The sequence below is a fragment of the Homo sapiens genome, chromosome 2 (genome assembly GCF_000001405.40).
Source record: "Homo sapiens chromosome 2, GRCh38.p14 Primary Assembly".
NCBI classification, from domain to species: domain Eukaryota; kingdom Metazoa; phylum Chordata; class Mammalia; order Primates; family Hominidae; genus Homo; species Homo sapiens.
The window spans coordinates 11217977-11245376 of record NC_000002.12 but is presented as its reverse complement, the minus strand read 5'-3'; the positions used below and the strand labels follow the sequence as shown (position 1 = coordinate 11245376).

The window sequence follows — 27400 nt, the reverse complement described above, 5'->3', positions numbered from 1 at the left end:
TGTGTTAAGTTGTACTTCCTTGATTACTTACGAGATTCAGCATCTTTCATATGCTTATTAATAATTTATATTCCTTATACATTAAGCCTAAAATATAATTTATATTTTTATAAATTTATAATATAATTTTATAAATAATACATGATTTATAATATAATTTATATTTTATACATCAAGCAAAGTATAAGGAATATAAATTTCATTGCTAATGTATAAGGAATATAAATTAGTAAGCAAATGAAATATGCTAATCTTTTATAGTGCACTGAAAAAGATTTCAAAGTAGTGTAAAATTTAAAGTAAATGCTATTTGCAATAATGTGATTTTTAAAAGTGGGATACTGAATTTGATTTACTAATATTTTGTTAAGTAGTTTTGCATCTATGTGCATAATGAGATTTGACCTTTAATTTAATTTAATTATTTAAACATGGGCTCTTGGTTTTCTTATTACGGTAAGACTACTCTAATAGACATAATAGGGAAGCATACTACTTTTTTCTGTGCTTTGATACAGTTTATATAAAATATAAACTATTCATTTCATGAGGCTTGAATGAACTTACTTGCAAAGCTTTCTAGAAAAAAATTCTTTTTTTTTTCTTTTTTCTAGAGACAGGATCTCACTCTGTTGCCCAGGCTGTATTTAGTACAGTGGCAAGGTCATGGCTCACTGCACCCTCAAACTCCTGGGCACAAACAATCCTCTCACCTCAGTTTCCCAAGTAGCTGGTACTGCAGGCATGTACCACCATGCCCTGGCTCATCTTTGGTAAAGATTGGGGTCTCACTATGTTGCCCAGGCTGGTCTCGAACTCCTGGCCTCAAGCATTCCTCCTATCTCTGCTTACCAAAGCACTGGGATTATTATAGACATGAGCCACTGCACCCAGCCTAATGATACATTTTTCCATTTTAAAAATGTATTATGATAAATTTCAAATATATCCCAAAGTAGAAGAAAAAAGTATATTGAATCCCCATGTACAGTTCACCCAGCTTCAACAATTACCAACCATGGCCAATCTCATTTCATTTATGCCAGGAATTGCAAACATTTTTTGGTAAAGGGCCAGATGGTAAATATTTAGGCTTTGCAACCTAAGAGGCAAAGTTGAAGATATTACATAAGTATTTATATAATGAGGAAACAAATTTCTGCACAGTTTTTATTGATAAAATTCAAGAGATAATAAATACAATTTTAAAAATACAGGTCTACTAATGACAAGAATGAAATTCTTTTCTGAATGTTTGCTCAACTGGGGTCCACAATTAGTGTTTCCTATCATCAAAATTAAGTGCAAATACTCATCTGTTAATGCTGGTGTGTAAAAATATTTTACATGTTCATCTGTGAAAATGTCCTTTCACACAGCTAGGTATTGCCACGTACTATAATTATCCACTAACGTATGATTGTTTTTTAAAGTTGTAGATTTATAGAAAAATTGAGCAGACAGTATAGAGTTCCTATCTATCCCCAATACAGTTTTCCCTGTTATTACAAATGTATGAATGAACCAGTATTGATACATTAAACTGAAGTCTTTATTTAGATTTTTAAAATTTTTACCTATGTTCTTTGTTTCAGGATCCCATCCAGAATGCCACATTACATTTAGTTATCGTGTCTTCCTGGGCTCTTCTTGGCTGTGACAGTTTCTCATACTTTCCTTGTTTTTGATGACCTTGACAGTTTGGAGGAGTACATGAATTATACTGTAGGATGTGGATGCTCCTCTGTAGGAATTTGTCTGATGTTTTTCTTATTAATTATACTAGGGTTATGGGTTTTTGGGAGAAAGACTGCAGAGTTAAAGTGCCATTTTCATGCTGTCATATCAGGAGTACATACTAATACATTATTTATGACTGTTAATGTTGACCTCAAGCATATAATTTTGATTTACCATATTTATCACTTGGAGAAGGCGTTTTCAGAAAATTTTAAAATTCTTCTTTTGATAGTTACAGGTTAATCATTTCTAATTGAAGATTAGATAGAAGAAGCCCCTTGATTGGAAAGTTCAAATAGATTTTGAAATATGGATATTTCCATTGCGCTTACATTTGGGCCAAAAATGCTGCTGCAAAATGAGGAAATTAACATTGATACATTACTGATTAATATTCAGATCCCAATCAGGTTTTCACCAGTTGTCCCAGTAATGTCTTTTATAGCAGGAGGATCCAGTTTCAAACCACATCACATTTATTTTCTTTCAGTTTTGAACATTTCCTCAGTCTTCCCTTGACTCCTCAACCTTTTTGGCTGTTATATCCCCCACTAGGCTGCCCCTTTGCTTGGATGTCCTTTGGACCCTGTTTGTGTTACCAACCACAGGTTCCTAGGGTCCCAGGCACTAGAAAGTGAAATGAGGCAAGAAAGTGTCCCAGACAAGGCTTTATTCATGGCTGATGTTAGAACACAAAGGAGAGCACTAGAGAGAGAGTTCTCCAGCTGGCTCCCTGAGGACAGGTCTTTTTGTTGTTTTAAGAACCATGATGACATAAATAAGCATGAGATACTTGAATGTCATTACATGTGCAGGGTGGAGCACAAGGTGTGCAGGCGCAGTGAGAAATCATGGTAGTACACACATGGCATGATAACAAAATGGTGAATAAGCTCCTCCCTGGGTGGGGAGTTTAGTATTGTAAGGAGGCAAGGGGTGGAGATTAGCCATTCTTCTGGTCTTATGCACATATGGGCGATAGGATTAACTCCCTTGAGTAAGATTTAAGGTGGGATGCTGTGTATTTTAGTTTCTTCAAGATCATACTTCAGTGAGTGTGGCACTTGATAAGATTTAGGGTGGGATTCTGCTTATCTTGGTTTCCTCAAATTCCAGCCATCATCTGGAAGGAAGGTCAAGGTAGGGGTAGAATCCCGTCCCTCCTCTCTCACTTGGGCTTTGGTATCCCATGGCACCCATCCTCACACGTGAATGGTCCTCCTTCCCTTTCTGAGCTCTGATACCCTCTGTGCGGCTTGACTTCTGACTCCTTTTATAGTATGTTTTGATGAATAGTAATTCATAATTTTAATGCAGTAAAAGTTTAATCAAACTTTTATGGTTAATGGCCTTTTGTGTTCAGTAAAATTTGTCCCTACCTTGAGAGCATGAAGATATTGTGCTATGTTACCTTTCTGACTTTTATTTTTTCCCTATTAATCTGTCCTATCATGGTCCATTAGGGCTCCTATAACAAAATACTATGAACCAGGTAGCTTATAAACAACAGAAATTTATTTCCCAAAGTTCTGGATGCTGGGAAGTCCAAGATCAAAGTCCTGGCAGATTTGTTGTCTGGTGAGAATCCACTTTGTTATATATGGCACCTTGTCTCTGTGTCCTCACACAGTAGAAGGGGGTGAATAAGCTCCCTTGGGCCTATTTTACAAGGGCAGTAAACCCATTTATGATGGCTGACTTCATGTTATGCTAACAAGGTGGCTCAAGTGACCTCCATGACCTACTCATTTTCCCAAAAGCCCCTTCTCCTAATACCATCACCTTAGGATGACGGTGTTATACCGTCATTAAGATTTCATATGAATTTTGAGGGAACACAAAACATTCAGACCATAGCACCTATGATCAGCCCAGAATGGATTTTTTAATAGTGTTACTTAAGTATTCAATTTTACGTGTTTCCATATGGATATTCAGTTGTTCCAACATTACATATTGACAAAACTTTCTGTTCCCCACTGGTGTATGTTAACTCCTTATGTTGTCATGCATTTATCCATCTGTGCATAGATCTGTTTTGGGGTTCTGTGTCTCACTGCATCATTTATCTGTTCTTGCCACCAGTAACACAATACTTTAATTAGCTTGGCTTACCTTGCTTGGTATTTATTGGAGTTTCTTAGAATTATGGGTTTATAGAGTTCATCAAACTTGGAGGTAGTTAGGCCATTATCTCTTTAAATGTTTTTTCTGTCTCAGCTTCTGTCTCCTAAGCCCCTATCCCCTTTCTCAGACTTCAGTTACACATGTGTAATCTGCTTGATGTTGTCCCATAGGTAACTGATACTCTTTTTCCCACCAGTCTTTTTTTCTTTGCATGCTTCATTTTGTATAGTTTTTTTGCTATGTCCTTAAGTTCATGGATCTTCTCTTCTACAGTATCTGCTCTAACTTCAGTCCCATTCTATTTGGCTTATTTGACTCCACAAAATTGTTTTGAGATTCATCCATGATGTATATCAATATTTCATTCCTTTTGATTACTTTTATTACATATATCCTTGTAGGGAGATGTGACAATTTATCTGTTCATCTATTAATGGACATTCAGGTTTTTTCCAGTTTTTCTCTCTTATAAATAAAACTACATTATTATTTCTGGATTAACTTGATTCTTTGAAAGTTGTTGTTGAGCTGTGGTAAATTTAGAGTTGTCTTTACTCTGATGGAAAATATATACGGTATCTCTTTTCTGTTGTTCTAGTGGCTGTGTTTACCATTTTAACATGCACATTTAAGTTTTCAAAATTAATTTTATTGAGGTATAATAACTATACAACTTTATTGAGGTATGCAACTTTTTATACCTTTGTAAGACAACTTTATAATAGAACTTTATGAGGTATAATTTGCATAGCATAAAATTCACCTGCGTGAAGTGTATGCTTTAGTGAGTTTTAGGAAATTTATAGCATTGTGGAACCACCACTACCATCTGATTTTAGAGCATTTCCACCATCCCAAAGTGGTCACTTGTACCCTTCAATGACATTTCCTATTACCCTCTGAGCCCCAGGCAACCATTAATGTGCTTTCTGTCCCTGTAGGTTTGCTTTTTCTAGACAGGTCTTATAAATGGAATCATACAATATGTTATCTTTTACATCTGGTACTTTTTCCTTAGCATACTGTTTTTAAGGTTCATCCACATTGTAACGTTTGTTATACTTCATCCCTTTTTAGTGCTGAATAGTATTCCATTGTATGGTGTGTTATAATAAATAATATATCTAGTCTTTGTTGCCATTTCTGGCACAGAGCTTCAAAAGCCCTGGAATTTCCTGAGTGATAGGAGTGTCTTTGTTACACCAGTGAGGTGACTCACGTGTCCTTCTGATAGCTTCAGGATGAGGGCTGACCGCTACAAAAGACCAAACACATGATTAGAAGATTAAGGCTTTTAGCTGCCAGACCTCCCGGGAGAGGGAGAAGGAGGTATTGGGGGAGGATTAGAGATTGAGTTTAATCATTCGGCCAGTGATTTAATTAATCATGTCTGTGTAATGGGGCCCTTATAGAAACTCTGGATACTGACACTCAGTGGAGCTTACTGGTTGGTGAACACATTGATGTTCTGGTGCCAGGAGAGAAATGCACTTTTATTCTACACAGACAGGGTGGAGAAGCTCTGTAATCTGTTCCACACTTTGTCCTGTGTGCATCCTTTATAATAAAACTGTAATCATAAATATAGCACTGTGCTGAGTTCTGTGAGTCATCCTAGTAAATTGTTAAGCCTGAGGAGGTTGTGGGAACCCCTGAATTTGTAGCCAGTAAGTCCAAAATATAGGGAACCTGGGGATCCCCAAAGTGCAGCTGATTTCTGAAGTGAGGGAAATTTTGTAGAAGACTGAGCTCTTCACTTGTGGGATCTCATACCAAGCCTTGTTGGTTAATGTCAGAATTGCATTGCAGAACACCCAGTTGGGGTGGAAACGGTATACAGATGTACTCCATGTTATTTGCTCATTTACCGGTTAATGGACATTTGAATTGCTTCCACTTTTTGGCCATTATGAATAATGAATAATGCCGATATGAATATTTGCTTATTAGTCTTTGGCAGATATATTTCATTTCTTTTAGGTAGGTACATAGGCGTGGAATCCTTGATTGTTTGCTACATTTATGTTTAACTTTGTAAGACATTATCAAACTGCTTTCCAAAATGGTTGTGCCATTTTGCATTCTCATCAACACTTAACTATTTTCTGTCTTTTTTAGTATAGCTATTCTGATGGGTGTTAAGTGGTATGTCATTGTGGTTTTAGTGTGCATTTCCCTAATGACCAATGCTATATATATATCACTTGTAAATATTTCCTCCCAACCTGTGGTTCATCTTCTCATTTTATTAATAGTATCTTTCAAGCCAGAAAATTTTTATTTTGATGAAATACCATGTATCAGTTTTTTATTTTGTCAGTTGCGTTTTTGGTGTTATATCTAAGAAACCTTTGTCTAATCTAGGTTCATTAAGATATTCTCCTGTGTTTTTTTAAGATTTTTGTAGTTTTAACTCTTAAATTTAGGCCTATAATTCATTTTGAATTAATTTTTGACTTATGGTGTGAGGTAAGGGTCTAAAAATATTTTGGCTGTAGCTATCCAGTTGTTCAAACTTTTTTTTTTTAATTATTTTTTCCCTCATTAAATTGCCCTGGCACCTTTGTCAACAAATTTATTGATCATAAATACAAGGATTTATTTCTGGGTTCTCAGTTCTATACAACTGTGTTCAATCGATCTATGTATCTTTTCATATGCCAGTACTCATATCTCACTGTGTTGCGCAGACTGGAGTACAGTGGTGCAATTGTAACTCACTGTAAACCTCAAAATCCTGGGCTCAAGCGATCTTCCCACCTCAGCCTCCCAAGTAGCTGGGACTACAGGTGTGCGACCATTCCTGGCTAATTTTTAATATTTGTATAGAGACACAGTCTCACTTTGTTGCCCAGGCTGGTCTCAAATTCCTGGCCTCAAGTCATCCTCCCACTTAGGCCTCCTCAAGTGTTGGGATTACCGGCGTGAGCCACCGTGCCTGGCCAGTATTGTCTTGATTATTGTAATTTTGTAGTAAGTTTTGAAATTGGGAAATGTAAGTCCTCCTGCTTTGTTCTAGTTCCAGATTGTTTTGGCTCTTCTGAGTCCTTTGCATTTCCAAATAAATTTTAGGACCTGCTTGTTGGTTTTTGGAAAAGACCCACTGGGATTGAGATGGAGATTGCATTGAATATAATGATCAATTTGGGGAGAGTTGCCATTTTGATAGTATTGATTCTTCCAATCCGTGTACATGAGGTGGTCTCTTCATTTATTTTCATATTTCCTTTAATCATTTAAACATGTTGTACACTGACACACACAACAGACACACACACACACACACACACACACACACACTCTTTCTCAATTTGGTAACCAGCCTTATCATGCTTTCCTATTTCTTCCTTCTCTTCATCCTGATGCCTTCCATTTTAAAATTATGTCTCACATAATAATCCTCTTACTTGGATTTATTCCTTTTCTCCCCGCTAGTCAAAGTCTCACTCTGTCGCCCAGCCTGGAGTGCAGTGGCACGATCTCGGCTCAGTGCAACCTCTGCCTCCCGGGTTCCAGCAATTCTCCCACCTCAGCCTCCCGATTAGCTGGGATTACGGCATGCGCCACCATTCCTGGCTCATTTTTGTAATTTTAGTAGAGATGGGGGTTTTGCCATGTTGGCCAGGCTGATCTCAAACTCCTGACCTCAGGTGATCTGCCTGCCTCGGCCTCCCAAAATGCTGGGATTACAGGCATGAGCCACTGCTGTGCCCAGCTATTCTTCATTTTGTCAAACTATATTCTTGAATAATTTTTTTGAAAATGGTCTGTCAATTATAAAATTTCATTTTGTCATCTCCTTTGTTTTCTTGTCTGCCATATTCTAGAATCAAAATTATTTTCCCTCAAAACTTTGAAGATATAGCTATGTTGCCTTTTATATTCAGTATGTTGGCTGAGAGGTTTGTTGCCAATATGATTTTATGTTTTTGTGTATATGGCATTTTTTGGAAACAGGATTTTTCTCTTGGATTTCTGAAAATTTAGCCCTAGCTGTGTAAAGTATCAGTTTCATTTAGAGGTTTTCTTGATCTTAGATTTTTAACTTTACTCATTTCTAGAAATTTTTGTTTACTATTCCTTTGTTCTAGTCTACATACTCTCTAGAACTACTTTTAGGTAGACGTTGGTGCTTTTCTGACATTGCTCTGTATTTCATCTCTTACTCCTTCAGTGTGTTCAGAGAACATTCATTTTTTCAGTTTTCTAACTGTAATGTTTGTCTATCATCAGTCATATAGTGAATTCTTAGACTTCAGGGTTTTTTTGGTCCTCATATCAGCCTAATGTTTAATTGATGTGACATCTGTTACCCTTTTGAGGGTATCGATTTTACATATATTTTTTGTTTTCTTTTGAGACAGAGTTTTGCTCTTGTTGCCCAGGCTGGAGTGCAATGGTATAATCTCAGCTCACTGCAACCTCCGCCTCCGGGGTTCAAGCAGTTCTCCTGCCTCAGCCTCCCAAGTTGCTGGGATTACAGGTGCCTGCCACTACGCCTGGCTAATTTTTTATAGTTTTAGTAGAGACGGGGTTTCACCATGTTGGCCAGGCTGGTCTCGAACTCCTGACCTCAGGTGATCCACTTGCCTCGGCCTCCCAAAGTGGTGACATTACAGGTGTGAGCCACCACGCCTGGTTGATTTTACATTTTTAAAGCTGTCTTCGGTTTGTCCTATTAAACATTTCCTTGAGTATTATTTTTGTTTCTCAAATTGCTGTTTTCTCTATTTCATGATGTTGGTTTTTCTCAAATATTGATTCTTAGTTTTATCTTTTCCCTGTTTGTCTGTGGAAGACTTGTGTTTGCATTGCTTGTTTCTGGGAGGGGTGTGACATACTGTTTGGTAGAATGTACAGATAGGTTTTCTTCAGACATTGTGGTTTCTCTGTCTGTTTGGGGGGTCAGTAGCAACCTGGACTGGTATCTTCTTTCTCTGGTCCCAATGCTACTGCTATAGTCTCAGTAAACTGAATGTCTCTTGTTTATCATGAACAAGGTGATGGGGAAGGGGAGAGAAGAGTTACGCGTCTTCCAAATATGGCTACCAGTGACTCATTCTTTCCATTGATATGGGGCTTATTCCCTCTTCTTGTGTCCGTTGAATCTAGTATCTCTAGATTTTTTTAAATTGCTCCTACCTCCTCTGCTCTTTTCTGTGTGAGTTAGGTGCAGTAGTTTGTTCAGAAAGCTGTTTTTTTTAAATTATAGTGAATTCTTCTGTCATTCTTTCACCTTTAATGTTCCTTATTCCTGTTTGTTTCTTTCTTAAATGTTTCTATTTAAATAGTTTCTTTTGTATTGTGTTCTCCATGAGGGGAAATATTCATTTATGCTTGAATAAGGTACCCATATAAAAATTTTGTCTGATACTGTTTATCCATTACATACGCCTGAGTCTAAAATAAAAGATCTCATAAATTTTAGTTTTGGTTATAAAATAGTTTGCCTTTTTCAATAGTAATAATAGTTTTTTAAATTTTTGTTCTGATTATGATTTTTGGTTTGGGTTTTTAAAAATTTTTCCTTTTCCTTTTGTTTTCCAGCTTTTTTATGCCTTTCAAGATGATAGGTATCTGTACATGGTAATGGAGTACATGCCTGGTGGAGACCTTGTAAACCTTATGAGTAATTATGATGTGCCTGAAAAATGGGCCAAATTTTACACTGCTGAAGTTGTTCTTGCTCTGGATGCAATACACTCCATGGGTTTAATACACAGAGATGTGAAGCCTGACAACATGCTCTTGGATAAACATGGACATCTAAAATTAGCAGATTTTGGCACGTGTATGAAGATGGATGAAGTAAGTAAGCAAATTATTTAAAACGATAGTGTTTTGAGGGACAGAAATAAATGAAATACTTTAAGTCAGGTCTTCATAGTTTTGAACAAAGGTAAATTTAGTTTTCATAACTGTATAGCACCCAAACAAGATATAACCAACTTAAAACATTTCCTTAACCAACTTAAAACATTTCTTTTGTAATCATTTATGTAGCTGTAGAGTACTTATCAAGAGAAATAAAAACTTAGCTTAGTTATCTTCCTCATAGACTGTTGACAAGCATTTGCTACCAATCAAAACCGGTTCATATGTATAATTTAGGTGAAGAAGGACACAAAATCTAAATTAAGGTAAATAGGTATTTTCACCACCATTGTTACTTCTGCATTTTTTTCTTTAAGAGGAGGTAAAAGTAAGTAAAGAAATTTATGTTACAACCTCCTCGTCACTCCCTCTGCATCAACCACACAGAATAAATTTGGGAACATCATCTGTTCCGATGCTTTACCTGTTGATCAATTCATATTATGATTGATAGGTTCAGTGGCATTAACCTCGTAGCTAATTATGATACTGATTTATTTTGGTTGTAAAATTTATATATCTTGCCCTTTTCTCTGTAAGTGTGCAGTAAGTAATTCTTGATGGAGAGGGATCGGTTCTGTTTCCTTTGTATTACCCTGTTGGTCCTAGGAGTCGACTTATAAATGTTAATATATATTGACAGCAAACTGTATTTCATCTTTTGTATGTTTTTTATAACTTTCCAGTATGCTTATAAAGCCAATCTTATTTCTTGGTAGTTACCTAGTCAAATGTTTATTTTGAGTTAAGGTAATTTTCTCTCTACCTCTTAACTTGTTCATGCCACCTGTATGACATTCACTTTTATTGATCATTCTACCTTCATCAGCATTCCAACTTCTAAGCTCATCTCAGATTTTACCTCGGCTTTAAGGTTCCTTCTGATAATCCTGACCTGACTGATCATTCTTTAATGTCATAATGTCCATAATTTCCTCACATAGTCAGAATTTGTGCTATACTTTATGGGCCATTTTTGTCTATCTTAATCTATCCAGCTAGAACTTAATATCCCTATATATTTTTGGTCTTTTTGATAGAGTCTGTTATATTCTGCAACCCTTAATCAATGTTTAATAGGTGGAGTTTTTTATTGTACCCAAAGCTCCCTCTTGTGGTATTTGGTATAATATAGTGTGAAATGATTAACAGTGCAAATTATCTTTAATGAAAATGAAGTATGAAATAATTTCCTAATAGAATGCTAAACTTATGTCTGCTATACATAAGAGAAGATGTTTTTGTGTTGTACTTCCATGAATGTATTGCGATTTTCATTAAACCAAAAACTTTTGGCACTAGGGTACAGACAAATAAATCATACCACATATTTTTAGGGAAGATAAGGGTGGTTAAGGAGAGCAAGGTGTAGAGAAGAAGAATATGGGGAACGGGATAGAATATGGTACCTACAGAATAATTGTATAAGCATGTAAGCAAATACTTAAATTGTCTCTTTATAAGGCAAAGTAAAACATGGCCTAATTTTGTTTACTATTTTTACTTTTATTTATTTTTATTTATTATTTTTAATAAATTTAAAAAATATGGACTGCTTCAAGAATTTGCATGTTATGCTTGTGCAGCGGCCATGCTAATCTTGTCTGTATCATTCTAATTTTAGTATATGTGCTGCCTAAGTGAGCACGGTTTACTGTTTTTAAACTCAGATACAGACAGTTGAGTTAATTATACTCCTTGGTTCATAGTTTATTGTCATGAGTAGTCAACACGAAGGCCTCATCTTGCTTTTATTTTATATTTTCCTCCATTCAGTTTCTGTCTCATTCTGTCTTTCCTCTCCCTAATAGATAGCTAGTATATGTTCACCATACGTTTTTGCAGATTATTAGTATAGTGTACTATATGTTCTTAGCTGGTATAAACAGTATCTTGATATAGATGTCATTTTGTTTGCTGTTGTTACTCAGCATTGTTTTTATATCTCTCCCTGATGTCAGTTAGTTCATTGCTTCTTTCTGCTGCTTAGTATTCCATAGTATCTATCAATCAATTTACCTTATTATTCCTTGGATGTTCGATTTCTAGGTCACCTCCAAATCCCTGCTAACAACAATACTATCTTGAACATCTTTATATATGTCCCATGTATATGCTTACAGGGGGTTCTCTAAATATAAACATAGAAGTGAAACTACTACATCAGAGGGTACATAAAGAAAGAATTGCCCGATCTCCAGAATGGCTGTGAATGTTTCTAACTACTTACTACTAGTACATGAGAGATCTTGTCTCCCCATATCCTTGCTAACACTTACTATTCAGTTCTCTAAGGGTTACCAGTTCCGTTGATATACAGTAGTATCTTTAAACAATTATGTTCATCTTATTGGACTAAGGTTGCCAAGAAAAAAATAAATAAGATTTGTAAAAATTACATTAATCTTTTTTTGTTGTTATTGTAGACACGGTCTCCTCTATTGCCCAGGCTGGAGTGTAGTGGTGTAATCATAGCTCACTGTAGCCCGAAACCCCTGGGCTCAAGGGATCCTCCCTCCTTAGCCTCCTGAGTAGCTGGGACAACAGGCGTACACCACCATGCCTGGTTCATTTTTTAATATTTCATAGAGACAGTATCTCTCTATGTTGCCTAGGCTGATCTCAAACTCCTGGGCTCAAGTGATCCTCCTGCCTCAGCCTCCTAAAATGCTGGGATTACAGGTGTGAGGCACTGTGCCTGACCAGTTATGTTAATCTTGTAACTAATGATGACAAACCTCTCTTCATATATTTGTCAGTCATTTCTGTTTTGTGAATTACCTGTTTATATCTTTTAACTCTTTTAAATTGGTTTCTTGTTCATGTACAGGGATTGCTTATATAATCTAGATAGTGATTCCATAGATATTGCTGATATCATCTTCCATTGTGTTACCCATCTATGCCTTCCTTTGTTTGAATAGAACTCCTTCATTCTGATGTAGTCAAAGGTGTTCTTTAACAAATACTGAACTTTTAAAATGTTGTTTTACCCCAGATCTCCATTCCTCAAGCAATACTAAGGATAATTATACAATGTTTAAGAACAAAAGAGTTTTTTATTAAAAACTATAGTACATTGGATTTATAATTTTCTATTAGTTTTTAACATGAATAGTCTTATTGCAAGTTTAAGGCTCAACACTTCATGTGCCTTTGTTTGATTATTGTTACTATACCAAAGCCATTAGAAATGTCCATAGTTTTGGCCAGCTGTGGTGGCTCACACCTGTAATCCCAGCACTTTGGGAGGCCAGGGTGGGCAGACTGCTTGAAGCCAGGAGTTCGAGACCAGCCTGGGAAACAAGGTGAACCCCCGTTTCTACTAAAAACAGAAAAATTAGCCAGGCGTGATGGTGCATGCCTGTAATCCCAGCTCCTTGGGTGGCTGAGGCATGAGAATTGCTTGAACCCAGGGGGTGGAAGTTGCAGTGAGCCGAGATCGTGCCAGGCCACAGCCCTCCAGCCTGGGCGACAGAGCAAGACCCTGTCTGAAAAAAAAAAAGAAATGTCCATAGTTTTATTCTCATCCACTTACAGAAGGGACTGTGACTTGGTTTTATACAGCTTACATGCCAGAAATAACTTTTACATTTTTAAAAGTTTGTTTAAAAAAAAGAAGAAAAATATGTGACGGAGACCCTGTGTGGCCCACAAAGCCAAAATATTTAGAGTCTGGCCCTTTACAGGAAAAATTAGCCAATACTTTATCTATAATATAGACATATATGCTCAAATTATTTTTCAGCCATCCTGACTTCCTATAAAATGTTATGCCATGGATAAAAGCAAAAATAAAATACAACTATAAACTTACAAGGACTAAAATGATTTGTCACTATCAGAATTAAGAGTAATAGTATCTCATTAAATTATATAATTGATAAATTGTATATTACACAACTTTCTGGATGCAGTTGCCATCACCCTTATTCTCTCAGGAAAAAAAAAACTTATCTAAATGTGAGTGAGAGTCACATTGTAAGATATTTATATGTAGATGTGTCTCAGTAAAAGTTGAGAGCTACTGCTATGTTGGGTGTACTCTTTGCGTGTCATGCATTTTATAGCAACCTTTACCTCCTTTTAAGACCACTTTATATGTTAGTATTTTAAATTACCTGAAGAGGCCAGGCACGATGGCTCATGCCTGTAACCCCAGCACTTTGGGAGGCTGAGGTGGGTGGATCATCTGAGGTCAGGAGTTCGAGACCAGCCTCGCTAGTATGGTGAAACCCCATCTCTACTAAAAACACAAGAATTAGCCGGGCATGATGGCGCGGGCCTATAGTCCCACCTACCTACTCAGGTGACTGAGGCAGGAGAATCGCTTGAACCCAGGAGGCGGAGGTTACAGTCAGCCAAGTTCGTGCCACTGTGCTCCAGCCTGGGTGACAAAGCGAGACTCTGTCTCAAAAAGAAAAAAAAAATTACCTGAAGAAAAAAAAAAATTACCTGAAGACGATTTTTATCCATTAATATTCTAGCATATACCATTTGACTAAATAGAAGATATAATTTTTTAAAAGCTAACTGGTAGCTTTTCTTTTTAAGTAATTTTTTTAAAAAAAGGTATGCATTTTCAAAAGGTTTCTCAGATTATTTTAAATGTATCATATTAAATATGTATTTGCTAAATGTATTTGATGTATTATGGCCCAAAATATCATAAATTCAGAGAATTTACTGAAAACACTGAATTTACTGAAAAGAGAAGAATTTCCTAAAACAGAAGCATTCAGTGATTCTGTTATTAAAAATTCCATTTACAGTTTTTTTTCCACCTTTATAGGAAGCATTTCAGTTGTTTTTAGACCAACTCCAAGATTTCTGATTGACCAGTTTTGTGTTTTCAGTAAGTTATCTCGATTTATGATATTTTTTGACCATGATAACACATCAAATATATTTAGAAAATACACATTTAATCTGATACATTTAAAATAAAATAATTTGAGAAACCTTTTGAAAATGCATACTTGATTATCTGGCTTTCCAGCTTAATACCCTTCAGTAGATTTCTGTCATCTACTGAATTAAGTTCAAACTCCTTAGCTTGTCACATGAAATTTCTTCTGATACGACCCCCTGCCTGCTTTTGTACCCTATTCTCTATCATTTGACAGTACTTTATGGCTTAGAAGTCTTGAGTTACATGTAGTTCTTTCTGTACTATGATATATCATGATTCTTGGCCTACGTATATGCTGTCTAAAAATCTGCCTGGAAAATTCTTATTCATATTTTGAAACTCAGTCCAAAGTTTGCCATCTTGTGAAAGCTCCTTAGGTTGACTTCTTTGTCCTTTCCACATATCCCCCTTTTGGAGCATTTTCTTATTTTTTGACACTATACAATGTTCAAGACTTGTCTTATATTTTCTCTGTCTCACCTCTGGAATCACTTCTCCAAGAAGCTCTGATTCTTTTTATTAAAGAATGGTATTTATAAATCAATAATTGGGTGCTAGATGTGCTCATTGCTTCTGGACTGTCATTACTTCTAGGCCCTGCCAGCTGACAGAGTTAGGGGGTATATATTGTATATACTAAATGTACTAAACCATAAACCACATGCACACATGTTTATATTTAATTCTGAATATGTCTGTATATATAGCATATTAAAAATTAGGAGCTCATACTGATAACTCTGATTCAAGTCCAGCACCACTGGGTTTATTCTTGTCTCCCTCCTTTCTTTTTTGTAATTTCTTTCGTGAACAGTAAAACTCTTGGCTCTTATTATCTGCAATATATTTACTTACCAGTTGAACCCTAGTATACACATAAAATTATTTCAGAATTGTCAGTCCTTATCCCTGTGACAAACAGATTTGCTAACCAAAATATATTATTTTTGTACACTTCTTTCTGTTTTTAATTAGTCTTACAGTATTGTGTTAAGATGTTATTTTCCATAGTTACTTAGTTTATTTTGTTTCTTTCTACCTTCTCTAATGTGGTTATATTATTTGTTTATAAAACAAGTTCATTTCTTGTTTTTTTTTTTTGTGTTGCATTTAGAGTTCCCCCCACATCCTGATTGGTTTTAATGTTTATTTTTTTTTTTGGATACGTGAAGTTTCCTCTGGTTTTAGGAGATAGAGCCATGCAAAATGTATGCTCAGAGAAGAGTCACTTGCTCCATATTCCCATACCCTGTTCCCATTACTCCCTTCTTTCCATCCTTTGCCCACCCACCCACTGTTGGTAAACCAATCTCTTTAGTTTTTTACTTATCCTTCTCACAGTTCATTTAAACAGGGTTAGAGACTTGTTATAAATGTAGATTTCATATTCATATAATTTGAGGGCTTCCACATAAGACACTTTTTAAGTATTTTTAAATATCATTTTCAAATGTTTGTTTTAAAAACTTCAGTATGCTATCCAAAAATTATGGTTAGAACATTAATTTTCCAAAAGCAGAGTGTTATTCACATAGTTTAGTATGTGAATATAGTTTACTATTAGTAATTACTATTACTATATAGAATATAATAGTTTATAACCAATAAAAATCTTTAGTCCTACCCAAGTATTTATTCTGCAAGTGGTTATTCACACTGATATGCAGCTTATCCTTCCAGTCTTCATTGTGTAGAACTTTACATTTAGTTGATTTGGATTTCACTGCATTTCTTGAACAAGTTTATACCAGGTTGTTCCTGTTTCTTTATGCTCTTTTTTTCTATCTAACCTGTCATACCATCCTCTCTCCTTTAAACCCTAGCTTATCCGTCCTTTACAGCCTAACTTTATGCCAATTCTTTCTTATCTTGCCCTTTCTTCTCCTTCCTCTGAACCTTTGAATGCTAAGTAATTTTTCCTTTGGTTGTATGTGTGTGTTTGTGTCTGTCTGTGTGTGTGTCTCCAGTAAGTTGGTTTTAGTAGCTAAGTCTCATATAATTTTTTAAAAGCTTAATTTCTGTGGATGTATGTGAAATAAGGAAATTTTCTTTAACCTAATAAGCCTCTATTGATTTTTTCCCCCAACAGAAGTCTAGACTATAGGACAGTCCATGATAAAAATTAATTGTATACCCTGCCTTTTGAAGTCAGGCACTGTCTTGTTCATAATTTGTCCTTTGTAATAATCCACACAAAGTGTTACTCCCATGGTTTGCTCAATTATTTCCATAACATTTATTTTTAAATTTCTATTCACACTAAAATAGCTTTTATTCTCTATTTGCTATATATGTGGGAAAATAAAGCCATTGAGTTAGTTCTGCCAATTTGAGAATGAATGAAAAGATCTTTTCTATAACAAGTTTTATATAAAGTTACATAAATTAGGTTTACAAAATGTGTTCAACCTCCTTTTCTCAAGGTAGCCATAATACTCAATATTAGGTAGTTTGTATAGCTTCCTTATGAGGAATGTGGGCAACACACTCTTTACTGGGCAGGTAAAGGAAATAAAGGGCACTTAATCTCTCAAATCATTGCAAGTTGGACAGAGCTAGAGGTAAAGAAATACCATTTAGCACCATACTTCTCTAGTCATTTAATTTTGCAGCATGCAGACACACACACCCCTATAATGGTTATTTTACTTGTCAAAAAGACATCAGGGAGGGATTATTTTATTATCTGCTGAAACTAAACACAGATAAGTGGTTTTTAAAAATCATCATGCCAAATATATTGATGCCACAGCTGCATATTTCTAAATATATAGCTTGGAAGTATAGCTTTCACACTTCTAAGATCTTTTAATTTAAACATTTGATCTATTTCTTCATTTTTTTTCTTGGTAATACAAGAGCCAATTCTTTATTCAGTCTCCAAACTGGGGCCCTTTGTTATCTTGATTACTTCAGTTTATTCTGGAAATATGAAAGCTTCCTTTCTCTAATGATTCTTTTTCCTGGGTCAGTGTCCTTAAGACCACATTTTGTACTAACCTCATAACTGTAGTGTAAGAAATAAGAAAAAGAAAAGTTGTTGATTTGCATGGAATCTCCATTTTACCAAACTTTTTTCTTCTTTCATTGAGGAAGCCTCCTGTATTTTAGAGTTCACAGTTTATTCCTATCTCCCATAATTTAGGCATTTTAATGCATTTTCCAGTGTATTTATTCTCTGTATCCTGAAGTCATGTCAGCAGTGAAGTTCTGTTGGTTAGCAATATGTAATCATTGTATATCTAGTAATAAATGGATTCATTGCATTTATAAGTGTGTGTTTTTACACTGAACTGTTTTTTCTTTATCTCTCCTGTTCATGCAGACAGGCATGGTACATTGTGATACAGCAGTTGGAACACCGGATTATATATCACCTGAGGTTCTGAAATCACAAGGGGGTGATGGTTTCTATGGGCGAGAATGTGATTGGTGGTCTGTAGGTGTTTTCCTTTATGAGATGCTAGTGGGTAAGTAAATATTTTAACTTCTTTTTTCAAAATGCTTCTTATAATACTTTATTTCAGTCAAGAATTTGAGAATATAAGGAAATTAATTGCCTTTGTCGTAGGGAAGAATTAGATTTCTGGAAACTTTGAATTAGTAGTATCTGATAGGGCAGACTGTTAATTGGAAAATTAATACCAAGCCTGATACTGGCATGGTGATTAAATAGAATAAGTAGAATGTAAAAAGAATTAAAAATATATCAGACATTTTTGAATTAAAATATTAGAACAAGAAGCAAGTTTACAGCTTCAGTGGGCCTTCATTCTAAGATTTTCCTTCTTTTTTTTTTTTTTTTTTTTTTCTGAGGCAGGGTCTCGCTCTGTTGCCCAGGCTGGAGTGCAGTGGCATGAATGTGGCTCACTGCAGCCTTGACCTTCTAGGCTCAAGTGATCATCCCATTTTGCCTCCCGAGTAGCTAGGATTACAGGCACATGCCACTAAACCCGGCTGATTTTTCTCATTTTTTGTAGGGAGTGGTCTCATCATGTTGCCCAGGCTAGTTTCAAACTCCTGACCTCAAGTGTTACTCCCACCTCAGCCTCCCAAAGTGCTGGGATTTTAGGCATGAACCACCACACCTAGCCCTCTAAGATTTTCTTGATCAATCATATTTGTTATAATATTTAAATATAAGACTTAATATTTGTCCCAATAGTAGTAGAGAAGTAAAAATCTCTTTAGTTTATGTAATTACATAATTGATTTCGTAAACAACTGTATTCCTTCCATTTACTTCTTGCATATATATTGTTTGTAATTCTCGTGAAATAAATTATAAATACAGTGTTTACCATTTGATTATCAAGATAAATATATTTTGTAATAACATTTCAGTTTTAGAAAACTCAGAGACAGATTTAGTTATTTCTTCTTTTTTATGACCAAATCAAAATTTGAAAGGCTGAAGTATTTCAAAACTTTCTTTACATCATAGATTTCATTCCTAATGTTTCCCATTTGTAAGTACTGGGGTCATAAAAATACTAGTACCTTCTGGCTAAGGAAGCCAGTGACGTGGCATGGGGATGAGGGTTGAAAATGTAGTTAAATCCACTTTCCAAGGCAAGTATGTCAAGGCTAATAACATAATATGGAATTAATTAGAGTTAAAAATATACTTTTTAGAATTAGAGAATATATTTTCTAAAAGATGAGCCTAAAAGAAATGGTAGTGTAAAACCTGTATGATAAAAGACTATGGTTATTGCTAAAAAATCAGAAATTTTCGGTAAATTGCAAATTTAAATAATAATTACTCTTGAACTTTTTTGTGGCATAAATTGTTTTCTCTTGATGACTGTCTTGTGTATGTAGCATTGATCTTGTTATGCTTTGTTTCATGTCATAGTATGACCTACTTTATTTTGGGCCTTTCAAAGTGAGTCTGTTTGTACGCATCATATGGTCCCATGTAGCTGTCCGTTCTCCCATCTCTGGCCTAGGTTGTGTCTTGTAATCTTTTGAAAATAGAGTATATTCTCTTTTTTGCCTAGACACGCTTTCCTAGGGATTTACAAAATAAGGTACTTTAGAGGAAGTAATTTGGCTTATTTGATGAAGAGGCCATTTAAATTCTCACGACTGCCAGGCTGGGTGGTGCTAGCTCAGCTCTTCAGGAGGCTGAGGCAGGAAGATCACTTGAGCCCAGGAGCTCAAGGCCAGCCTGGGGAACATATGAGATACTGTGTCTAAAAAAGTAATAATAAAAGAGTAAAATTAAAATAAATAAAAAATTTTTAACATAAGAAAGTTTAAAAAGTTAAAAAATAAATTAAAAAATAAAAAATAAAATCTTGAATTCATCACTTCCCTCCACCTTTCTTTGAACACAAACAAAAATAACTACCTGAAGACATTTTTTGAAGTTTTGGATTGGCTGATTTGGGAAAGTCAGGTTTTCATTAAAGTTACTTGTAGTGTAGGTGTACTGGCAGAGCCTGTAACACTTGTGGCTTTAGCTGAGTACTGGCCAAAATGGTGCCTTCAACATTTTCCATCTTTATACTTGCTTCAGTGCATCTATTACAGTCATTAGTAAGAACACTGCATGGGGAGACCATTTCTTCCCTCTTTCAACTCTAGCTATATGTCATTTTAAGCTAGTCACAGTCTGTCTCTCTGGGCCTGACTTCCTCTTATGTAAAATAATAGAGCTGGTTTAACTCTTGCAGCAGCCCTGTCTGGCCTATCATGATGTAAATGATTTAAATCTGTGCTGTCCAGTGTGGTGACCATTGGTTACAACATGACTTAAAATGTGGCTAGTATAACTAGGGAATTGTGTTTTTCATTTTATTTAATTCATTTTAACTTTAAATTGCCACCTATAGCTAGTGGCAACTGTGTTGTATAACATATCTCTAGAGAATGATTTCAAAATGCTGATCCAGCCCAAGCATTAAAGGACCCTGACTGATCTGACCCCACATAGGAACTCTTTCTCTTGGACTATTCAGTAAAACATTTCCTCTCTTAAATTAAAAAAAAAAAAAACTCAACAAATTCGGGAGTTATCATTGATTTTATTTTGCTTTTAAGGGATGAGGGATCATTGGTGGTGTTAAATTTTAAATATATTCTTTGATTTAGAATATAACAATATGTCTGTTGTTTTGACTGGGACTCTGTGCCCGTAGAATATTTGTTCTTCCCTGCATGTGACAAATTTAAACTTAACATATTTAAGTACTAGGTGAAAAGTGTTTCCTTTGCATTCTCTGTTACATTCAGTATCTTCTTTCTTGAAATTTTAGGGGATACTCCATTTTATGCGGATTCACTTGTAGGAACATATAGCAAAATTATGGATCATAAGAATTCACTGTGTTTCCCTGAAGATGCAGAAATTTCCAAACATGCAAAGAATCTCATCTGTGCTTTCTTAACAGATAGGTAATGTACATTGAATTTCTTTGTAGAGAAGCCCTTTATGTTAAATTTATAGAAATAAAAGCATGCCTAGCTTATTAACATATGAAATCAGTCTGCCTCTCATTACCCAAGTAGCATCTAATTCTGGGTTAGCCTTTTCCTTCTGCTAAGCCTGGTGTTGGGCTACCTTGTTGTTATGTGTGTACAGCCCAGTTGTAATCGAACTCTAACCTTAACCCTCATGTCTAAAAAGGAAAAAATAGAACGTGGTAAAACAATGGATTTGAAAGAAATAAAACTTTCGTGTTGTTCACATTTTATCCTCCAAGCTGGTTATTCCATATTACTCTTATATAACTTTTGAGAGTATTTTGTGTAGATAAATACTCAACAGGTTATAATCTTAAAAACTATTTGTGTTAGACTTGGGAGTGCTTCCTTCCCAACCCTTTTTAATTTGCATTTGAATATGAGCAAGACTATCCTGGAAATTCCATACTTTTAAAAACAAAATAGATGAACAAAGGTGTGAAAACCTGCCCCCAAAAGATAAGCTAGAAAACTATTTGATTTCTCTTCTTTGTTCACCCCATTCCATTTTTTTCTAATGTCCCGTTTTATATTTGTGATAGGAGTCATCCTGTCAAAGGACCAACATATACAAGAGGATGCTCACACCCTCGTTCAAACTTACACATCAGCTTTATGATCTTGGGGAAATTATTTTTACTTTTTTGGGAAATAATTTTACTCATCCATAAAACAGTGGTCTCAAATTACAAAACTAAGGGCATTTCTAGCTTTAATATGCTAAGATTCCTTAGCACATCTTATTGCTTATTAATTTGTTACAAGCATTACTGCAGTGACTATCCTCACACATTCATCTCTGCATACTTTTTATAGGATAAAATCTTAAAGGTGGAATTCTGGGATACACATTTTAAACTTAAGTGATGTTACAAAATTGATCCCCAGAGAAGTTACAGCAGTATGTATTTCCATTAACAAAATTGTTTTCTTCTCGTCAAACTGAACATTGTAAAATGTTTTTTCTTTTTTTCATCAAAGAGGATAATTATTTTTATTTGTCAGTCATTTGTAGAATAAAACTTTAATACCTGTCAATTACATGGTTGACGAGCAGTTGGTGCTGATAAACTCAAAGTAAAATGGAAATGACGATTTATATATTAAGACCTGGAGATGAGGAGATGTTATCTTTGAAAAGAAGGAGAGACGCCTCTTTCTAAGAGGATAGGGTGGAAGAAGAACACAGCCTGTATGATGTTTGATGTGGGCACTGAGCAGGATTGGTAGGGATGGCCATAATTTGTGCTGGATGATAAATTGTACAACAGGGTACACCTGTTTTATGTTAATGAAAGGAGTGTTATTCATGAAAGTTTTGAATTAGTAGTCATGGGGCAGGGGTGTGCAATCTAAGGAATGATTATAGGTGGAAAACTGATATTTTGAAAACGAGTTAATGCCGTAAATATGGCTAGGAGCACTTCCCCTTAAGGTCTACAGTTTTCCTATTTATGTTAAACATAGCTCCAGGGCCTTGTATAACACAGATGCTCTCTATTTCCATACAGTCTTCATTGAAGACTCAGAGGGTCAAAGAATGAAATTCTTTGTAACATTTTTCATATATGCAGAATGATAAGTTTAATATACATGTAGAGATATACTTTACCAGAATAAATATGGATAGCTTCAAACATAATATATGCATTCTTTTTAGGAAAGGGAGAGATTTTTAAAATAATATTTCTATTAGGGAAGTTTTGAATAACTCTTCTCTGCCGAAAGTTAGACCTATGTCTGTTTATATCCTGAAGTTATTGTCATTCAGTCGTGGCACATGCAGGTGAATTTTTTTACTTGATAGTCTTAACGTACTTTCATTTGATGCAAACTATAGACAGAAACATTTTACTTTTCATGACATTTATTGTGCATTACAGTTTTTTAAATCTGTCTAAAGAGATCACATACTGTAACTTGGGATTGCTTATTTTTGAGAAACATTTAAGCTGAAGCTTTTAATACAAATATCTCAAATTTACTTGAGATCTTTATTTTGGTTAAACTGTTGACATAGAGTTAATCTTTTTATTTTATAATTTTTAAATAATACAATCTTTAACTGCATTGTTTAGGGAGGTACGACTTGGGAGAAATGGGGTGGAAGAAATCAGACAGCATCCTTTCTTTAAGAATGATCAGTGGCATTGGGATAACATAAGAGAAAGTAAGTCAATAAACCTAAATATTTTCATTCCATCACATTCTGAAACTCATAAGTTGATTCCTTTTTTGAAATAACAAGCATATTTGATAACACTTAATGCTAACTCATTTTTAAATTGAGAAATTTCATTTCAAATTTGTTCTGTGGCAATATTTATAACAATATTCCTCAATATCTTTGCAAACTATTAGCAATATTTCTCAACACTTTTACAATAAACATTACACATTTCTTAATTTGCCAAGTTAAGCTTTGTAGATCTCAATAATTTTCAGAATCAAGGGAATGCAATCCTTTAATTTAAATGCGTTTGACTTGATAAATCAACAATTATTTATGGAGACCATACTCTGCTAAATATTGCTGTAAGCATAGTAACTTATTTTTACTATGTATATATGACATTGATTCATTTTAAGGGTAAGAAATATTTCTGTTTCGAGATTGTAGAAAATGGAGGTCTCTAAATTCTGTGCAAATTATTGCTGCTTGTAATTTTTAACAACTAGAATAATATGTTGCTTTCCTTGTTTAATCTATATTTAAAAGTGATCTAATATAGCAATAAATTACAAAATTTTAATTCTGTGAATCGATAAAATGGCAAATGCGCTGCTACAAATTTATATAGTGTTATTAAATAATAAATAATACATCATAATAAAATAGGATGGTTTATATATTTTGGTTGTGAATGAAATAATTTATTTCTTTTCTTTTAATAGCGGCAGCTCCTGTAGTACCTGAACTCAGCAGTGACATAGACAGCAGCAATTTCGATGACATTGAAGATGACAAAGGAGATGTAGAAACCTTCCCAATTCCTAAAGCTTTTGTTGGAAATCAGCTGCCTTTCATCGGATTTACCTACTATAGAGAAAATTTGTATGTGGTTTATTATTTGTTAAATTTTACTGTTTTTAGAATCTAGCTATAAGATGATGTGTTATTTTGAGACTCAATTATAGGAGATAAAGTATTAATTTGTTTTTTCCAAAAGGACTATCATCAGAAGAATTCTTAATTTTATTTTATTATTTCTGAATGTTATATGTTATTCATTTATAAGTTATTGCAAGACACCATTCTACATTCTTTTGGGGATATACAGTAAAAACAAATACCTATTTTTGAAGAAGCTTGTCATCTCGTGAAGGATATAAGAGAATTATATAGTCATAAAGAAGGGTAAAATGTGACAGTTGCCTTAAGAAAGATGCTGAGAGAATCTGGGATGGTTCAGAAGAAAAATAGAAGTCATCTCTTTGGGGTGGGAGTAGGGAGAAATAGGTCAGACCTCTGGGAAGAGGTGGCATTTTAGCCAAGTCTAACAAGAAAAGGTTTTGAGTGGCTGAAATGTGGGGAGGTTAGGGGACAGTTGTGAGGTGTTGAATAGTGGAAGCAAATGTTTGGAATGTGAGCATACATTGGGAGCAGAGCACTCGCATTGAGTCCAGTAGCACTCAAACATAGAGCAGGTGCTACTATGTCATTACAGTTTGGAGGACTCGATGAGACTATGTGGTTTTCTTGCCTGTAGTCTCTGCATCTAGCAGAAAGTCTGACACAAGATCATTCAATAAATATTGGTTAACTGAAGTGAGTATTGGATGTAAGATTAGAAAATATGTTGAGGCCAGGTGTGGTGATTCACACATGTAATCCTAGCACTTTGGGAGGCTGAGATGGGAGGATAGCTTGAGCCCAGGAGTTCTAGACCAGCCTAGGCAACAAAGTGGAACCCTGTCTTTACAAAAGAAAAAAAAAGCCGGGTACGGTGGCTCATGCCTGTAATCCCAGCACTTTGGAGGCTGAGGTGGGCAGATCACCTGAGGTCGGGAGTTCAAGACCAGCCTGACCGACATAGAGAAACCCCGTCTCTACTAAAAAATACAAAATTAGCTGGGCATGGTGGCACATGCCTGTAATCCCAGCTACTCTGGAGGTTGAGGCAGGAGAATCGCTTGAACCCAGGAGGTGGAGATTGTGGTTGAAACGAGATCGTGCCATTGCACGCCAGCCTGGGCAACAAGAGCGAAACTCCATCTCAACAACAACAACAACAACAAAAAAGCCAGATGTGGTGGTTTGCGCCTGTAATCCCAGGTACTCAGAGGCTGAGATGAAAGGATCACTTGAGGCCAGGAGTTCAAGGTTGGAATGAGCTGTTCCAGCCTGGGCGACAGAATGAGACCATGTCTTAAAAAAAAAAAAAAAAAAAGTGAGTTTTGGGGAAGAATAATCAACAGATGATTGTTGTGTGCTCTGCTAAGGGGCTTTTGACCGCCTGGCATTGGGAAGCCACTGAAAGCTGTTCAATAGTTGAATGAGGCATTAAAGATATTTGAGAAGCCCAGGAGTTCGAGGCTGCAGGGAGCTATGATTGTACCGCTATACTCCAGCCTGGGTGACAGATTAAAAAAAGAAAGAAAAATGAGATAATAAGATGAAGAGGTGGGAAGTATAGTTTCATTTAGTGAGTCTGGTGCAAACAAAATTAAAGACTAGTTATCCCGTAAGAGGGAAAGGCAAGAAAAGTTTAGCATTTGATTGATTGATTGATGGATGGATTGAGATGGAGTCTCACTTCGTCGCCCAGGCTAGAGTGCAGTGGTGCGATCTCAGCTCACTGCAACCTCCACCTCCCGGGTTCCAGCAATTCTCATGCCTCAGCCTCCCGAGTAGCTGGTACTACAGGTGTCCACCACCATGCCCGGCTAATTTTTTTTTTTTTTTTTTTTTTTTTGTAGAGATAAGGTTTCACCATGTTGATCACACTGGTCTCGAACTCCTGACCTCAGGTGATCTTTCCCGCCTTGACCTCCCAAAGTGCTGGGATTATAGGTGTGAACCACCACGCCTGGCCCTAGCATTTTAAATTATTGAAAATGATACAAATGTCTTGAGGGAAAAATATTGCTTCATTTGTAAATAATGTGTTGAAGGGAAAAGAGAGAAATCTGTGTTTGATATTTAAGTCTGAGAATAACTTGAATAAAACAGCACATAGATTAAAATGAAATGAAAAAATTTATTTTCTCCCCCCTTCCATGTAGATTATTAAGTGACTCTCCATCTTGTAGAGAAACTGATTCCATACAATCAAGGAAAAATGAAGTACGTATACATTTTTACTGCTGTAGTTATTTTAGTTTCATGTTTAAATATTTTAGTAATCCCCATGTTTTTAAAAAGCTAATTTGATGCTCCTTTTAAAATCATGAGATGGCATTCCTTGTGTAATACAGTTTAACATAGCATTGCAATGATTGATTTATGTGAATAGTATCATTATTCAAGACATGATGGCTAGTACAAAGAGGACTTCTACATGGCTTTAGGCTTAATTGAGTGCCAAAAGTGATAGAATAAGTTTGTAAACAACTATAATAACATTTAGAAAATTGACTTCTATAATTTGTAAATGAATGCAAAGCTAAATCATACATGGATATACACATACACATAAATGATGATGCTAAACATTTTTTCTTCAAACTTATGAAAGCTAAAGCATTAGGTTGGATAATTTTGTTATGGTTTGTGTTTTAGGAATTTTACAGAATATAACCATCATTTTAGTATTTTAATGTGTTTTCTGTTTTGTTTTAAATAGGAAAGTCAAGAGGTATGTTGATGTTGTCAGATATATTGAAAAACTGAGAAAAGCTCATCACTCTCGCAAAGTTTAAATATAGTCATATCCTACCTAGCATTTGGAGTACTACATCTACCCAAGAGAGAAGTTCCCAACCTTTCTTCTACCAAGTATCTCTTTTATTATTGTTCTGTGGATCTGTTTAAAATATATATTATGTAATTTTGTTTTTATTTATCAAGGACATATAACTGGCAGCAAAAATTTCTGATTAGCATATAATAACTGGTGTGCTCAAATTATTGTAATGCAGTAGTAGCCAAAAGCAATTAAACTTGACTAGTTCATTAGCCTGTATATTTTTATTAAGGGAAAACAGAGTTTTGCTTAAGATAGATGCAGTATTTAAAACCATGGAGAACCTGATCACTAGAAGGAATAATGGAAAGTACATTGCCATGGGAGTCTAATAGACCTGCATTGATTTTTGCCACTGCGACTTATTAGC

The 27400-nt window shown here is 35.3% G+C and overlaps 1 protein-coding gene and 1 pseudogene across 6 annotated transcripts in view; one reads left to right on the top strand and one right to left on the bottom strand.

The window, feature by feature from the left end:
* ROCK2 (Rho associated coiled-coil containing protein kinase 2) overlaps positions 1-27400 on the top strand; it is a 165679-nt gene that overhangs the window by 100061 nt on the left and 38218 nt on the right. For all 6 annotated transcript variants that reach the window (NM_001321643.2, XM_011510417.3, NM_004850.5 and 3 more), the window contains exons 5-11: positions 9415-9675; positions 17979-18123; positions 20917-21055; positions 23203-23294; positions 24020-24179; positions 26351-26411; positions 26911-26922. In NM_001321643.2, coding sequence (NP_001308572.1) covers positions 9415-9675; positions 17979-18123; positions 20917-21055; positions 23203-23294; positions 24020-24179; positions 26351-26411; positions 26911-26922 — 870 coding nt within the window. The remainder of the gene's footprint in view (positions 1-9414; positions 9676-17978; positions 18124-20916; positions 21056-23202; positions 23295-24019; positions 24180-26350; positions 26412-26910; positions 26923-27400) is intronic.
* Positions 11283-11389, bottom strand: RNU6-1081P (RNA, U6 small nuclear 1081, pseudogene; annotated as a pseudogene).